General features: G+C 40.5%; 1 protein-coding gene and 1 long non-coding RNA gene across 4 annotated transcripts in view; one reads left to right on the top strand and one right to left on the bottom strand.

The window, feature by feature from the left end:
• Window positions 1-17,985, bottom strand: part of SLC16A10 (solute carrier family 16 member 10) — a 143,692-nt gene that overhangs the window by 27,318 nt on the left and 98,389 nt on the right. Inside the window, exons 4-5 of one of the 3 annotated variants that reach the window (XM_011535422.3) lie at window positions 10,553-10,584; window positions 8,788-9,373 (exon numbers count right to left, since the gene is read on the bottom strand). The exons of 1 other annotated variant lie outside the window; for it this stretch is intronic. In XM_011535422.3, coding sequence (XP_011533724.1) covers window positions 10,561-10,584 — 24 coding nt within the window. In that variant the 3' untranslated portion in view covers window positions 8,788-9,373; window positions 10,553-10,560. Of the gene's footprint in view, window positions 1-8,787; window positions 9,374-10,552; window positions 10,585-17,985 lie in introns of those variants that run through there. One more of the 3 variants, XM_047418167.1, reaches the window with a different exon arrangement.
• Window positions 5,519-16,758, top strand: LOC124901377 (uncharacterized). Its single transcript, XR_007059707.1, has 2 exons — window positions 5,519-5,715; window positions 16,470-16,758. It is a non-coding gene; the product is annotated as an uncharacterized LOC124901377 (long non-coding RNA).

Below are 17,985 nucleotides of genomic sequence, written 5' to 3'. Positions count from 1 at the left end.
TTTGTAATCCTTAAAAAGAATAATAAGGTGAAATGTTTGAGGTATTTTGAAAGAAGATAAATTGGGTAAATCCAAATTATGCTTAGGTAGGAACTTAGTTTTTCAACTAGAAGGGGCATTATTTTATTTATTTATTTATTTATTTATTTATTTATTTGAGATGGGGTTTCGCTGTCGCCCAGGCTGGAGTGCAGTGGTGTGATCTCAGCTCACTGCAACCTCCACCTACCTGGTTCAAGCGATTCTCCTCCCTCAGCCTCCAGAGTGGCTGGGATTACAGGTGTGCACCACCACGCCCAGCTAATTTTTGTATTTTTAGTAGAGATGAAGTTTCACCAAGTTGGCCAGACTGGTCTCAAAACTCCTGACCTCAAGTGATCTGCCTGCTTCGGCTTCCTAAAGTGCATGAGCCACCACGCCTGGCCTAGAAGGGGCATTATTTAACCGAATTTTGTTACTGCCATGATTATTTAAATAAAGCAAGAACTTCAGCTTCTAATACTCCTCCCTATTCCCACCAAAATCTGCAAACTAAAAAAGTTTCTTTGGTCAGTATGTGAGGGAATCTGGTGATGCTGGATCTCTGGATCCTTTCTCACTGAGACAGTAGTACCCAGGAGGTCTGGTATGTTCTACTTGTGGCCTAGGCTGTCCATGACTGCTGCTGTTTTATAAATTTCTGCCCATCTGTCATCCTCTGGAGACTGGCATGCACTTTAGTTCAGCAGAAAGTGAATATAGGACAAAATGGATATTTCTAATAAAGAGTTGTAGAGATATGAAAATGTTGAAGAGATGTTTTCATACTTAATCTATTTTTTAAACCAATTTAAAGCTTATACTAGAGGTCACTGTCTACACAGGGGATAATATTATGCTGTAGAGCAGTTGTTTAAAGTTAACTTTAAAGATAAGTTAGACTTTATCTAAATGTATTAAGTGTCAGGAATTCATCTTTTTTTTTTTTTTTTTTTTTTTTTTTTTTTTTTTTTGATGGAGTCTCACTCTGTCACCCAGGCTGGAGTGCAGTGGCATGATCTCAGCTCACTGCAACCTCCGCCTCCCGGATTCAAGCAATTCCCCTGCCTCAGCCTCCTGAGTAGCTGGGATTACAGGTGCCCGCCACCACGCCCGGCTTATTTTTGTATCTTTAGTAGAGACGGGGTTTCACCATGTTGGTCAGGCTGGTCTCGAACTCCTGACCTCATGATCCACTTGCCTCAGCCTCCCAAGGTGCTGGGATTACAGGTGTGAGCCACCGCGCTCGGCCAGGAATTCATCTTTTATTTATGTTCTTAAACATCTGTTTAATCCTGGGTTGCACACTTCCAGGGGATTAAAAAAACCTTGCTAATTGACATCTTCAACACTGACTGTGCCTGAAACATTTTTTCTTCTTGAGACAGAGTTTCACTCTGTTGCCCAGGCTTGAGTGCACTGGCGCAATCACAGCTCACTGCAGCCTCGACCTCCTGGGCTTAAACAATCCTCCTACCTCAGCCTCCCGAGTACCTGGGACCACAGGTACATGCCACCACATCCAGCTAATTTTTAAATCATTTTTGTAGTGACATGGTCCTGTTATGTTGCCCAGGCTGGTCTCAAACTGCTGGGCTTAAGCAATCCTCCACCCTTGACCTCCCAAAGTGCTGGAATTACAGGCATGAGCCACCACACCCGGCCGTGGGTAACTGTTTCTGACCAGCCAACTGAAGGCCGGTTACTTTCCCCTCACTAGAGCCCACAGACAGATCCTGTTTGAGAGGTCTCAGGCAGTAGCCTAAGAAAGTGATCATCTCACTGGAATGGCCTCAGCCTTGGCCTCTCTCCTCTCCACCTCTCTTACAGGGGAGCCACAGTGTAAGACATTTGGAGACATCACATGGTGTTCTGATGAAGAAGCTAAGGCAGAGTCCTCTAGCTCTCATATATCAACCACAGAGGAAGTTAAATGGGTGGCCACAGTACAAAAGCAGCTCCAATAAAGCCAACGAACATGCATTAGAAACTCAAGCTTCTCATCACCAAATGGTTTCACGATAGAAGAATGCTCAACAGAAGGGAACCCCAAATCACTTTATTTACAGAAACCTGTGAAGTGCAGTGGTGGTACACACCTGCAAAGCAAGGATGCCATTAATCAAAAAGGTCCAATAATTACCTACTGTACTGTTTCCTAAGACTGTGTAATTTGGCCATGCCTTGATGGTCATTATCTTCCTCCTTTTAAGGGGGTGAGTACTTTTTGTTTAATATCTTTTATGTAAGGTGTATGGAATTTATTAAATAAATATGATAAAATACTGGTGCACACAAGTTAGACTATATATCTTTGGGGAGTCATAGTTTAAAAAGAAGGGGGATTACTGGAGACTCTTCAAACAAAAGTAACTTTATTTCTGACAGAGGACTTGGAGTAACAGCTGACTGACAACTACAAAGTGCTAACAAAGGCCGTATACAGAGGCCAGGAAAGCAGGGCAAAAACAGGCCCAGGGAGGAGTAGAGACTGTGGGACTAAAATAACTACAACTGTCTTCTAGGCAGAACTGAGCAAAACAACCCCTCTACCCCCACCCAGTAGTTATCATCCACTGCTGCTGCAGTTAACTATGCTCTTTGGGAGATAAGATTTCAGTCACCCAGTCATCATCTGTATTCGTTTATAATGATTTTGATTCTCTCATCTCTGTCCTTCCTCATCAGATACACATCATCGAACTGGAAAGGGGTGGACAATGGCTAGGCATGTACACTCATTTTATGTCTAGGAGAATAAACTCTTCAGGGGAGGGAGGGGACCTGTATGTTTTACATTTACATGGTACATCAAAAAATGGGATAATAAATGCTACATAATATTTACAGCAATTATGGAATTCAAACTGATTCTTTCAACTTCCTGCTTTCCAATACGGACACTAAGTTCAAAGCACTTTTACTCACTGCTATTCATACCAGAGACTGGCAGCTTCAGCTTGTTGCTTCTCATTTACTGCATTTTGGAGTAATTCTAAGAAAATATCCATCCAACATTTGAAAAGCTATTCCATAACTCTAGAAGACCATTCTGCCTAAACATACTTTTTTGAAAGGTAAACTCAAAAAGCCTGGGCCCTTTAAAAAAATAGACGTACATCTGAAAGGGAGTAGAAAGCCTGCAAGCGTGGGTTAATGGATAATCTGAGTTTGTTGCAAATCAAAACTTAACACTACCCTTTGACTTAAAAGTAGGATGAACAGAAATCTTCTGAATGAAATGAGACAGTTTATTTTGTTTTTTTCTTTCTTTTTTAAACGATTTGTGTTTCCTCTAGCTGTGTTTTTGCTAGAGGAAGTAAATTAAAACAAGTGGGGCACTCCCTTAGGAAGTTTTGCATGAGCACTGCACACCAGCAAGCCGAGTGAGGTGATTAAAGGTGGAAGAAAACAAACTCCATAGACTTGAGTACATAAAATTAATCCCTTTACACCAGAAAACACTGAAATAAAACTTTATGGCCACTGATAGATATTTATCGATTAGACCAGCCCCAAAATGTAATCTTAGCTTCTTTAATCTGATCAACTGTGCCTTTAGACTAAAGTATCTCTAAGATGTGCTTAGAGAAAAATTTCTTTGCTTGCCAACATTTTTAAGGACTGACATCTTTTGGTAGCCCAACGATATTTCTGTTGTGGCTAAACTGTGGTACAGGTACCTGCCCCCTCCTCAGCAGCTGACCAGGTGGAGAGCAGACCTTTGGCCTAACAGGACTGTAGGAGGCATGGGTGATTGGTTGTTTGTTTTTTTAAACAGCAGATCTTTCCATTTCATTAAGATGGGTTTCCATGGTGTAGATAATCATGCATGGCACTGTTAAGACATGAAAAAGGACTGGGAAAAAAGAAGTTTCTGGAATGCAGATTATTTCATAGCTACCAAAGGGCAGAAAAAAGAAGAGTTCAGAAGGAAGAGATGGCTAATGGTTTAAAGAACCTAATTTTGAAAACATTTCTAACTCTAAAAATTCTTTAAAAGCCTTTATTTCTACTTGTTTTTTTTTTTTAAATTTCCCTGGATTACAAACAAAACAAATAAACAGTCCATCTATGACATAGCATCATTTAGATAAGATCAAGATTTAGTAAAATGTCCTAGAGGAATTACCAACCAAAACCAGCTTGGATTTAGATGCCAGTTTAAATAACCCTGCATTTTAGAAGTTTAAAGTAGACTTCATCTTAAAATAGAAAATAAATCACTAGGATTTTTAGGTAATTTGAAATTATTTAGTGGCTCTAAATAATTTCTGTGCCAGATATTTCACAAGTTATCAAAAATTGTTCTGTTCCTTCCTGAACAATGAAAGGTTTAATCTGTTAGTTTATTTAAATTTTTATTAATTCCACCTACATTCGATTTTTTTTTTTTTTTGAGATGGCATTTTGGTCTTGTCACCCAGGCTGGAATGCAATGGTGTGATCTCGGCTCACTGCCACCTCCACCTCCCGGATTCAAGCAATTCTCCTGCGTCAGCCTCCCAAGTAGCTGGGATTACAGGTGTCCACCACCATGCCCAGCTAATTTTGTGTTTTTAGCAGAGACAGAGTTTCACCATGTTGCCCAGGCTGGTCTCAAACTCCTGACCTCAGGTGATCTGCCCACCTCAGCCTCCCAAAGCGCTGGGACTACTGGCATGAGCCCCCACACCCAGCCTAAATTTAAATTTGATTCTGAAGTTTCTTTCTTGGAGTTTCATTCTTGGCACACCAGACTTACCATTCTCAGATCCTTGGTTCCTGGCAAGTTTGAATGAACACAACAGACCGTGTCTATGCTGGTCATCAAGACAGCTCCTGAGGGCTCAGCCATGGTTGGCAGCCTACCTGCATGACTGACTGACTCCGATACTTTGGTAGAGCACTTTGAAGATATAAAAGTGGTTGCAAAGGCTCTGTAAATGTGGACTCCTGTTTGTGATTCATGCTCCTTTGAGGTATCATGTACTTCCATGTTTTACATTTATTAAAAAACAAGAAAAGGGGACATGCTCTTTAAACTTATTCTTGGACTGATCTAGTGATAAAGTCACCTATCGGCTAAATGTGCATGCAAATGAACAGGTAGGTGTGGGTTATGGAGTCTCTAATCAATAGTGGAATTACAGTCATGTGCTACATAATAACATTTCTGGTCAAAGATGAGCCACATATATAACAGCGATTCCATAAGATTATAATCCTGTACTTTCACTGTACCTTTTCCATGTTTAGATACACAAATACCATGTGTTACAACTGCCTACAGCATTCAGTGCAGTAACATGCTGTACAGGTTTGTAGCCTAGGAGCAATAGGCTCTACCTATGCCATATAGCCTAGGTATGTAGTGACTACACCATGTAGGGTTGTCTAAGTACACTCTATGATGTTTGCACAACAATGACATTGCCTAAGGATGCATTTCTCAGAACATATCCTCATTGTTAAGAGATGCACGACTGTACATGAATTTGGAAAAATAGTCCAAAGTGAACAAATGCACCCAACAAAAGGCTAGTTGAAATGATATTAAATTTTATAAGTTTAATATAGGCTTCTCTTTTTTTTAGACAGAGCCTCACTCGGTTGCCCAGACTGGAGTGCAGTGGCAGAATCTCAGTTCACTGCAACCTCTGCCCACGGGTTCAAGAGAGCTTCCTGCCTCAGCCTCCCGAGTAGCTGAGATTACAGGTGTGTGCCACCATGCCCAGCTAGTTTTTGTATTTTTAGTAGAGATGGGGTTTCACCATGTTGCCCGTGCTGGTCTCAAACTCCTGACCTCAAATGATCTGCCTGCCTCGGCCTCTCAAAGTGCTGCGATTACAGGCGTGAGCCACCGTGCCCAGCCTAAGATAGGCTTCTGATATGGTTTGAATGTTTGTCCCTTCCATATCTCATGTTGAAATGTGATTCCCAATGTTGGAGGTGGGACCTGGTGGGAGGTGACTGGATTTTGGAGGTGGATCCATCACAAGTGGCTTAGCACCATTCCCTTGGTGATAAGTGAGTTATTGCTTGTGTTCACTAGAGATTGGGTTAAGAGTGTGGCAGCTCCCCACCCATACTCTTGCTCTCAATTTCATCAAGTGACCTGCTGCTTCCACTCTGCTTTCGCCATGAGTAAAAGCTCCCCGAGACCTCACCAGAAAACTGAGCAGATGCTGGGGCCATGCTTCCTATACAGCCTGCAGAATCGTGAGCCAATTAAACCTCTTTTCTTTATAAATCATCCGGCCTCAGGTATTTCTTTATAGGAACACAAGAACCTAATACAGCTTCTTCTTAAAACAGAAAAGGATACATTCAGAAAGCATTATTTAAATCACTGGGATCTGAGGTAACTTGATAACTTATTTAATGACCTTGGCAATAGTGTCAATAAGCAAGTATTTTGTAAATTCACAAAATTGGTTCTACCTTCTTCTGTTGGTTATTGAAATTTTAACTTAAAGATTTGATTTTTGAAAGAAACAAAGAAATTAGGCCATTAGTTCTTATTCAGCTTCCTAATTTTTCCCTTAATTCTGAAGTGAAGAAAAATGGATCCTTCCATGAAAATTCTACCTTTCTTCTAACCTCTCTTCACTAAGATTTAGGCTAATGATGTTGGCTAAAGTGCTACTTTGCCAAAGTCTCCTATCTATCTCTTTCCCTCAGTCTTTGGAAGGCATGATGTTCAGTCTTTTTTTATTAATCCTAAGAGCCATCTAATTGCTGGCTCAAATTTGCACCCATAAATCTAATTTGTTTTTACCGGAATGAAGATTAAAATTTGTTGAGTAGGCCTAGATCAGCTTTCCTTCCACTGTTATCATTTCCACATACTTCTGATATTGTCTATCCCAACTGCTCCTTTTCTTATTCTTATTTCAGAGTTCTGGTGTGGAGGTTGGGGAAATGAAATTAACATTAGTCTCTTGGTATCCGTGGAGAACTGAACCCAACACCTCCTCAGATACCCGTATCTATGGATGATCAAGTCCCCTATACAAAATGGTGTAGTATTTGCATGTAACCTATGTATATCCTCCTGTATACTTTAATTAATCTCTAGATTACTTATAATAACCAATACAATGTAAATGCTATGTAAATGATTATTCTGCATTTTTATATTTCAATGCTCTACACAGAGAAACTTCTCTAGTAACAAACTATGATCCCCAGAAATGGTCCCTGAAAGTATAGTCTCCTGTTGTTGTTGTTTGTAGAGATGTGGTCTTGCCATGTTACCCAGGCTGATCTAAAACTCCTGAGCACAAGCAATCCTCCCACCTTGGCCTCTCAAAGTTCTGGGATTACAGGCATAAGCCAGTGAGCCCAGCCTGTATTTTGTTTTTAATCTGTGTTCTGTTTTATTGTTTTTGTTTTGAGATGGGGTCTCGCTGTTGCCTAGGCTGGAGTGCAGTGGCACGATCACAGCTCACTGCCACCTCAACCCCCTAAGTAGCTGGGACCATGGGCACATGCCACTATGCTCAGCTAATTTTTATTTATTTTTATTTTTATTTTTTTGAGACAGAGTTTCACTCTGTCACCCAGGCTGCAGTGCAGTGGTGGGATCTTGGCTAACTGCAACCTCTGCTTCACGGGTTCAAGAAATTTTCCCTGCCTCAGCCTCCTGAGTAGCTGGGACTATAGGCAGCTGCCATCATGCCTGGCTAATTTTTGTATTTTTAGTACAGACAGGGTTTCGCCATGTTGGCCAGTCTGGTCTCGAACTCCTGACCTCAGGTGATCTGCCTGCCTCAGCCTCCCAAAGTGCTGGAATGCTCAGCTAATATTTTAATGTTTTTTGTAGAGATGGCATCTCACTATGCTGCCCAGGCCAGTGTTTTTTTATTGTTTTTTTTTCCCCCAAATATTTTCAATCCATGGTTGGTTGAATCCAAGGATGTGGAACCTTGGATGTAGAGGACTGCCTATATTTTAAATATGTTTAGTTTTGTCTGGTAATTATACAGTCAGTGTTCAGGAGGAAAAGGACCACACCCTGGTAGGAGGACAGATAAGAAAATGGAAGGCTTGTGTACTCTGGATTAAGGCAGCCTACAGAGCAGAGAGAAAACTTCTTTGGACTGGGAATCAGATGGCCTTGGCATGGTAGGGAAAGAAATGTCTTTGGAGTCAAATTATGAACTCTACTCCTTATTGAGGCTAAAATCTTGGGCATCAGTTTCCCAGTCTCAAACACTACACATTGGTTCACAATTTGGTTCACCATTTAGGCAGCAACACCTCATTAGGGTTGTTTTGGAAATTTGTGGGGACTATTTTTATTTTTTTGATATACTTTCGCCCAAGCAGTAACTTTTCTTACTTTTTAATTTTTTATCGTGATAAATTCCTATTTCATAAAATTTGCCATTTTAACCATTTTAAGTGTACTATATTAAGTACATTTACATTGTTGTACAACTGTCACCACCTCCTCTCAAGCTGAAACTCTGTGCCCATTAAATAACTCCTCATTTCCCCCTCCCCTTGGAAACCACCATACAACTTTCAGTATTTATGAATGTGACTTCTCTGGGTACCTCATCTAAGCGGAACCATACAGTATTCGTGCTTTTGTGCCTGGAGTATTTCATTTGGTGTAATGTCCTCATGGTTCATCCATGTTGTAGCACGTATCCCAGGCATTAACTTACTTCTTTTATTTCTCCTTTCTGTAACGAGTGGGACATTACTGATTTTTAAAAACATTATGTATATAGGTAGTTTTCTTTTTTTTCCCTAAAATCAAAGACAAGGCCTGGAATATAGAGGTCTTCTTATCTAGGAATTTTATTTCAGGAGAGAAAAGGAGGCACCGAGTATGACACTGCTTTGGGTACACAGGGTTGCTGTGAAGGTATAAGGGATGCAGAGTTGAGAAGTGCCTCACAAGGAAGCGGGGGTGGTGGGGACATTAGGTGATTCCTAATCCTGGGCAATTCCCACTGCATAATTCAGAACAGCTCTGAGGGCTCAAGAGCCTAGCAAGGAAATATCTGGCAGAAAAAAGCAATTAATGCTTGAGGAATCAACAGGAAGCTAAGAATTGTCCTCTGAGAAAATGCTGAAAAGGACAAGGTCAGGAACTGAAAAGTCCCTGAGAGAGCACCTGAGGAGTAAGGAGCATATAAAAGAAAACATGTGTTCACAGAAGCAGAGATAACAAGTTGGGACAGGGACACTTGGTTTATTATTGAGGATATTATAATGCTTCATAAATTCAATCATCAATATGTGGCAGCATTCTAAATCCCACTGATATGTATGTGGGTCAAGAGGGGCGTGGATATCTGTTAACCTACTTGTTGGGTGATGTTCACACTCAGACACCCCGTTCTTCTGGAAGCAGCAGCTGGGAGAAGGCACAAAGCACTGGGCATTATTTTACTCCAGCAAGACTGACTATACTTCTTGGCATCCATTTCCATACCTTTAAGTTATTTCACATTGAAACTACTCTAGATAATTATAAAATCACTTTTATTTCTATTATTTAAGGTTTAAACCTCACCTTGTCATTAACTATATGTGTGTGACCTGAGAAAGTCTCTTAACTAACTCTTCTCCCTGCAAGATGGAGATAAAACTGTTCTCACCTTATTATACATTGAAGAACAAAGAAAAAAAGCACTTGAAGAACATAAAGTGCTATTAGAAAGTAAAGTAGTCATGAGTAGAGAAATTAGTAGACCTTGTACTCTACCAGCCTATAAACTCAGCTAGCCTATAAACTCAACCTGAAATCAGTTAAAAAAGGAAAGAAAAGATTGAGTGCCAGGCACATTCTAGGTGCTGGGGCTAGAGCAATGAAGAGAAGACGCTCTCCCTACCCTTGTGGAGTGTTCAGTCTATCCTACCCATTTCTTCCTTAGCATTTCCTGAGGTGTTAGGACACTTCCCACACAAAACTCCCCAATGTACCAATGTATTTTGTAGATAAATCCACAGTTTTCACCAGCCTTTCCCATACTTACATAGACTATATTACCCAATATAAGGGCCTAACAAAAATACACTACTGCTGTTTTTCAATTTAAGTTAAAATTAGATATTTTCAAATGTTTGTGGATTTATTTCTCCCTCACAAATTATAAATATTTTAGAAGTTTGGGGCCTACATTACAGGGATAATTTCCACCCCTGAGTAATCCATGAATCATTTCTAAAAACTACTATTCAATTATCTATAAATATTTATTTTTGGCTAAGTATAATTTGGAACACAGGACAAACTTGGTCTACCTTACTATAAGCAGCAGCTTTGTTTTAGTTTAATTATTTCTCCATGATCAGTTCTCTAGATTTCTTCTGTATTATTACCTCTTCTGTCAAGTTCCTATGCTAGTATATTATATTTTGAAAAGAAAAAACAAGCTTGTTTTGATGAAAGTGTTCTGTAAATATTAAATGTCCCCATGAATGAGTAAACAAGTGGTCAGATAAATAAAGATCCTTATTCATCTCAAGTAGGAGAATGCTGGTGAATACTGCCTAAGGCACAAAACTGATAAATGGGCAAATTGTCACTAACCTGAACAGTCAAATTGCAGCAGATGTTGAGATCTGAAGGAAAATAAATGCAAGGTTAGAAAAGCTAGAAAAAAACAAGAAAAGCATAGACATCATTGAAAAAAATCTGAGAAAAAGTAGGGACAAAGTGAAGGAGAGAAGGTGTCTTAATCATTCACTGTAATAACCACATGAGACCAGGAGTGATGGCTCACATCTGTAATCCCAGCACTTTGGGAGGCCATGTGGGAGGATGGCTCATGCCCAGGAGTTTGAGACTAGCCTAGGCAACATAGTGAGACTTCATCTCAAAAAAAAGGTAATAAGAAGAATAACCACATGAGAACAAGTGTATTATTAGAAGAGATAAGTAGTTAATAAAGTATATAATATGGCTTGGCTGTGTTCCCATCCAAATCTCATCTTGAATTGTAACTCCCATAATCCCCATGTGTCCTAGGAGGGACCTGGTGGGACTTAATTGAATCATGGGGGTGGGTTTTTCCTGTGCTGTTCTCATGATAGTGAATAAGTCTCATGAGATCTGATGGTTTCATAAAGGGCAGTTCCTCTGCATGCACACTCTTGCCTCCTGCCGTGTAAGACATGGTTTTGCTCCTCCTCCACCTTCCACCATGATTGTGAGGCCTCCCCAGCCATATGGAACTGTGAGTCCATTAAACCTCTTTTCTTTATAAATTGCCCAGTTTCGGGTATGTCTTTATTAGCAGCATGAGAACAGATTAATACAGTAAATTGGTACTGGGTAGTGGGGTGCTGCTGTAAAGGTACCCAAAAATGTGGAAGCAACTTTGGAACTGGGTAACAGGCAGAGGTTGGAACAGTCTGGAGGGCTCAGAAGAAGATAGGAAAATGTGGGAAAGTTTGAAACTTCCTAGAGACTTGGAGGGCTCAGAAGAAAGGAAGATGTAGGAAAGTTTGGAACTTCCTAGAGACCTGTTGAATGGCTTCTGAGGTGGTCTCAGATGGAGATGAGGAATTTGTTGGGAACTGGAGTAAAGGTCACACTTGCTATACAAAGAGACTGGTGGCATTTTGTCCCTGCCCTAGAGATCTGTGGAACTTTGAACTTGAGAGGATGATTTGGGGTATCCGGTGGAAAAAATTTCTAAGCAGCAAAGTGTTCAAGAGGAAGCAGAGCATAAAAGTTTGGAAAATTTGCAGCCTGACGATGCAACAGAACCATAAAAACCTTAGAAGAAAACCTAGGCAATACCATTCAGGACATAGGCATGGGCAAAGACTTCATGACTACAACACCAAAAGCAATGGCAACAAAAGCCAAAATTGACAAATTGGATCTAATTAAACTAAAGCGCTTCTGCACAGCAAAAGGAACTACCATCAGAGTGAACAGGCAACCTACAGAATGGGAGAAAATTTTTGCAATCTATCCATCTGACAAAGGGTTAATATCCAGAATCTACAAGGAACTTTAACAAATTTACAAGAAAAAAACAAACAACCCCATCAAAAAGTAGGTGAAGGATATGAACACTTTTCAAAAGAAGACATTTTTGCAGCCAACAAATATATATAAAAAAAAAGATCATCACTGGTCATTAGAGAAATGCAAATCAAAACCACAATGAGATACTATCTCACGCCAGTTAGAATGGCAATCATTAAAATGTCAGGAAACAACAGATGCTGGAGAGGATGTGGAGAAATAAAAACGCTTTTACACTGTTGGTGGGAGTGTAAATTAGTTCAACCATTGTGGAAGATAGTGTGGCAATTCCTCAAGGAACTTGAACCAGAAATACCATTTGACCCAGCAATCCCATTACTGGTTATATACCCAAAGGATTATAAATCATTCTATTATAAAGACACATGCACACATATGTTTATTGCAGCACTATTCACAATAGCAAAGACTTGGAACCAACCCAAATGCCCATCAGTGATAGACTGGATAAAGAAAAAGTGGCACATATACACCATGGAATACTATGCAGCCATAAAAAAGGATGAGTTCATGTCCTTTGCAGGGACATGGATGAAGCTGGAAACCATCATTCTCAGGAAACTAAAACAGGATTAGAAAACCAAACACCACATGCTCTCACTCATAAGTGGGAATTGAACAATCAGAACACATGGACACAGGGAGGGGAACATCACATTCCAGGGCTGGTCAGGGGAGTGGGGGGCTACAGGAGGGATAGCATTAGGAGAAATACCTAATGTAGATGACAGGTTGATGGATACAGCAAACTACCATGGCATATGTATGCCTATGTAACAAACCTGCACGTTCTGCACATGTATTCCATAACTTAAAGTATAATAATAAAAAAGGAAGAAGAAAAAGAAAAACCCATTTTCTGGGGAGAAGTTCAAGCCAGCTGCAGACATTTGCAGAATTTGCATAAGTGACAAGAAGCTCAATGTTAATTGCCAAGACAATGGTGAAAACGTCCCCAAGGCATGTCAGAGACCTTCAACGTAGCCCTTCCCATCATAGGCCTGGAGGCCCAGAAGGAAAAAATGATTTCATGGGCCAGGCCCAGAGTCCCCCTGCTGTGTGGCCCCCCTGCTGTGTGCAGCTTAGGGACTTAGTGTACTGTATCCTAGCTGCACCAGCCATGGCTAAAAGGGGCTAAGGTACAGCTCAGGCCATGGCTTCAGAGGGTGCAAGCCCCAAGCCTTGGCAGCTTCCACATGGTGTTGAGTCTGCGGGTGCACAGAAATCAAGAATTGAGGTTGGGAACCTCCACCTAGATTTCAGAGGATGTATGGAAATGCCTGGATGTCCAGGCAGAAGTTTGCTGCAGGGGCAGGAACCTCATGAAGAACCTCTGCTAAGGCAGTGTGGAAGGGAAATGTGGGACTGGAGCCCCTACACAGAGTCCCCAGTGGGGCACTGCCTAGTGGAGCTATGAGAAGAGGGCTACCGTCCTCCAGACCCCAGAATGGTAGATCCACTGACAGCCTACACTGTGCATCTGGAAAACCTGCAGACACTCAATGCCAGCCCATGAAAGCAGCCAGAAGGGGGGTTGTACCCTGCAAAGCCACAGGGGCAGAGCTTCCCAAGGCCATGGGAGAACACCTCTTATATCAATGTGCCCTGAATGTGAGACATGGAATCAAAGAAGATCGTTTTGGAACTTTAAGGTTTAATGACTGCCCTATTGGATTTCAGACTTGCATGGGGCCTGTAGCCCCTTTATTTTGGCCAATGTCTCCCATTTGGAATGGGTGTATTTACCCAATGCATGTACCCCTATTGTATCTAGGAAGTAACTAACTTGCTTTCGATTTCACAGATTCATAGGCAGAGGGGACTTGCCTTGTCTCAGATGAGACTTTGGACTGTGGACTTTTGAGTTAATGCTGAAATGAGTTAAGACTTTGAGGGACTATTAGGAAGGCATAATTAGTTTTGAAATGTGAGGACATGAAATTTGGGAGGAGCCAGGGGCAGAATGATATGGTTTGGCTGTGTTCCCTACCCAAATTTCATCTTGAATTGTAGCTCCCATAATCCCCACATATCATGGGAGCAAGCTGGTGGGAGGTAATTAAATCATGGGGACAGGTTTTTCTTGTGCTATTCTCGTGACAGTGAATAAGTCTCATGTGATCTGATGGTTTTATAAAGGGCAGTTCCCCTGCACATACTCCCCTGCCTGCCACCATGTAAGACATGCCTTTGATCCTCCTCCATCTTCCACCATGACTGTGAAGCCTACCCAGCCATGTGGAACTTTAAGTCCATTAAACCTCTTTTTCTTCCTAAATTACCTGGTCTCGGGTAAGTCTTTATTAGCAGTGTGAAAACAGATTAATGCAGTATACGAAGAAAAAACAATGATTGGGTCCTACAGCAAAGTATGCAAGACATTTTCATTTTTGATATGCAGATTTTTAATAATACATCAATTAAAAATAAGTTGGATAAAAAAATCCAACTCTTGATTGGCCTTAGAGACTTGAGAAATTCTGTTATAGGCCTCCCAAGGGCAATAGAAAGCTGTCTTATTTTTGTACCTTCAAAGTACCTTATACTACCCTTTACCCAAAGGATGTACTTACTATCAGCTTTTCAATGAGGTTGTCCCTGACTGGCCAAAGTTGTCTCTTACCATCTCTTACCATCACCTTCCATCTCAATTTGTTTCCTTTGAAGAAAATATCACTATTTGAAAACTACTTTGTTTCTTTATGAATTTACTTGTTTATTGAGCTGTGTATGAGAAAGTATCTGTTCTTAGCATTGTATCCCCACATCTAGAATGTCTATGGCACACAATAGATACTCAAATGAATGCCTGAATCTGTTTAACTGATTTATAATTAGAGCAAGTCAAACAACAATAATTAAGGTTGCCATTAGAATAAACTGGAAATCTATTCTAATGGCAACTCTGTTACTTAACTGTGCAACCTTAGGCAAACCTTTTAAACCTCTCTGAGCCTCAATGTTCTTATCTATTAGTAGAAGAACCACTATTAGCACTGCTTTCCTTATAAAAGGTTACCATGAGAGTTGAATCATAAAATGTATATGTGCATAAATATCTTCATAGCCTTTTTGGAAGTTAATTGCGAAGGGAATGAATGAATGAATAAAGGAAACATTTCCAGGCCACATAACAACAACAAAAATACAAGAAATACATATAGGGATTGAGAGTAAATTTAATCAGCACAAATGAATCTCAGTGGGTAAATTATCATATTTAGATTAATAAAGGCTGAGTACAGTGGCTCATGCCTGTGATCCCAGCACTTGGGAAGGCTGAGACAGGAGGATCACTTGACACCAGGAGTTCAAGGCCAGCCTAAGCAACATAGCAAGACCCTGTCTCTAAATATATATATATATCCTTGTGTCAAGGAAATGTTATAACCCTATTTTTGAATGAAAAATAGAAAAACAAAATTACTTAAATTTGAAAGTCTTGAAGAAAAAGCAAAGTGATTACTCTTTATTTTGCAAAGTAGCAAAGCATTGTGCAAAGTAGCAAAGCATTCTGCATAGTTAAGAAAAAGGAAAAAGGAAAGAAGGGAGGGAGGGAAGAAAGAAGGAAGGGAGGGAGAGAGGGAGAGAGGGAGAGAGGGAGAGAGAAAGTAAATGAAACTTTTAAACCCTAGTATTTAAGACTCTAGGCTAAAAACAAAATTAATATTTTAAGCCTTTCTATTTTAATTGGTTGCAGTGCTGACTGAGATAGGGCAACTCTTCAGTTACATAACTCCATTTTAAATAAATAAAAAAGTTTCCAGCACTCTGTAACCATCATCCACCAGGCTGGGGACATGTAACGGGGACCAAGACTTTGCTTCTGTCAGAACCTTATAGTGAACAGAGATAAACACAACCAACCAACAAAGATAAACCAACCAACATGAAGGAGAGGTCACCTTCAGCAGCCCATTCCTGGCCCAGTGTACAGTGAACTTTGGTTTATAAGGATACTACTGTGAGCCTTGCATTGTCAGGGACAATCTGCCGCATAACAACCTTGTCCCTGAGCTCCAAATAGATCCATGAAAGAAAGACAACAAAGCCAGTTGCAATTGCTCTTGGCAACTCTGAGAAAATGGATCATGTCAAAATGGCAAAGCAACCTCCTGATTGGGAAATGAACCCTATGAGTTGACCAGGGTTAGGACAGAAACTAATTTCACTCCTCTAATAATTTTGTTTCTACATACACATTCTGTTTCTATGTACATATTTACAGGCTGGGCTGTAATAAGCTTCCATTTATTTTCCATGGATGTTCTTGGGTATTACACCCAGTTCTGCTACTTTTATAACTGTGGCTTTTGGCAAGCAACTTAACTATTCCATGCCTTCGTTCCTTTACCTTTCTTTTTTTGTAGGGCAGGGGGAGGAGTGCAACTACCTGATCTGTACAATGCCTTTCAGGTCCTAAGTTAATGTTATACTTTTTTGGCAGGCACTTAAGTATTTTATTTAAAAGCCACACTTTTAAGAAGACCCAAGCTCAAGCCCTGGCTGCACCATGTACCATCCTTGCAACCCTGAGCAAGTTGTTTCGCCACCCCAAATCTGGTTCTTTTCTTGCTAGATAGAAGCCCTGATATTGCCCATTTCACACAGTGGTCCTGAGACTCCAATGAGAGATAATGTGGAAGCATCTTGTAGACTAAAATGTTAATAAAAATGTTAACTAAAATGTTAAATCAAAAAGAAATGCGGGAAATAAATGTTGTATTTGTCTAAAAGAAACCTGTGGTTTTCAAAGCACACCATTGCATGGGTTGGAGGATTGGGCAAAAATCTTAAACTATGCTCTGAAGACTAGATGTTGCCACTGTTCTTACCATTTTACTTCAAAAAAGCATCAGTTCAATTTAACATGGATACAGAGATACAGGGATTGCATAACAGAGATATAGGGATTCCATGTTTGCAATTATACACCTCCAATTTGGTGCGCATTGCCCTTTAAATGAGCACTTTTACAATATGTTATGAGGGAATATAAACTTTCTAATTACAAGTAAGCTGCCCAAGGAGAGAGGGGCAAAAGAGCCAGAGATATAATGATAGGGATAGAAAGTGGGGAAAGCATAGGGGTAAATAGATGCTACATGGGCAGCTGAGGGTTAACACATCAGCAATGTACAGCCCCTAGAACTTTGTTTGGGTGCTAAAGACCCTTCCTGATAGCATGAATACATAAGAAGGCCTGCTTACCCTTATGCTCTATGATCCTTAGAGTTAGTGACTACAAGGGCTTCTCCCAAAGGATGCCCTAGATGTTGAAGGTAAGAAATGTACTCTCAATGGATCAGACAACTCTCTCCACAACCCAAAGCCACCTTGTAAATATCAGGCAAAAGCCATTTAGTATAGCCTCACAAGGGGAAGATTCTTCAAATTAAGATTTCTATTTCTATTCATCCCATATCAAAACAATTTATTTTCTAGTTGATATAAAAACATGAAAGGACCCTTATCTAATTGGCTAATTTAGGTTCCTCAAACTTGAACAAACTTTAATTTGATTATTAGTCCAAGGATTTGAGACATGCCAATGTCCATATTAGAAATGAAATTTGAGATGATTCAAAGTATACTGCATTTTATCAAATAAAACCTGAGACACATGCAAAACAAAATGAAAAACCTAGTGAAGGCCAGATGCAGTGGCTTGCACCTGTAATCCCAGTGCTTTGGCAGGGAGCCAAGGCAGGAGGATTGTTTGAGCACAGAAGTTTGAGACCAGCCTGGGCAATGTGGTGAGAACCCCATCTCTACAAAAAATTAAAAATTAGCCATGTGTGGTGGTGTGCACCTGTGGTCCTAGCTACTTGGGAGGCTGAGGTGGGAGGATTGCTTGAGTCCGGGAGGTCGAAGCTACAGTGAGGTGTGATTGCACCCCTGCATACCAGCCTGGACAAGAGAGTGAGACCCTGTCTTAAAAAAAAAAAAAACCCACTGGTGAA

The sequence above is a fragment of the Homo sapiens genome, chromosome 6 (assembly GCF_000001405.40).
Source record: "Homo sapiens chromosome 6, GRCh38.p14 Primary Assembly".
Taxonomy (NCBI): Eukaryota; Metazoa; Chordata; class Mammalia; order Primates; family Hominidae; genus Homo; species Homo sapiens.
Note: the sequence above shows the minus strand (reverse complement) of the source record. Positions and strands in the feature narration are given on the sequence as shown.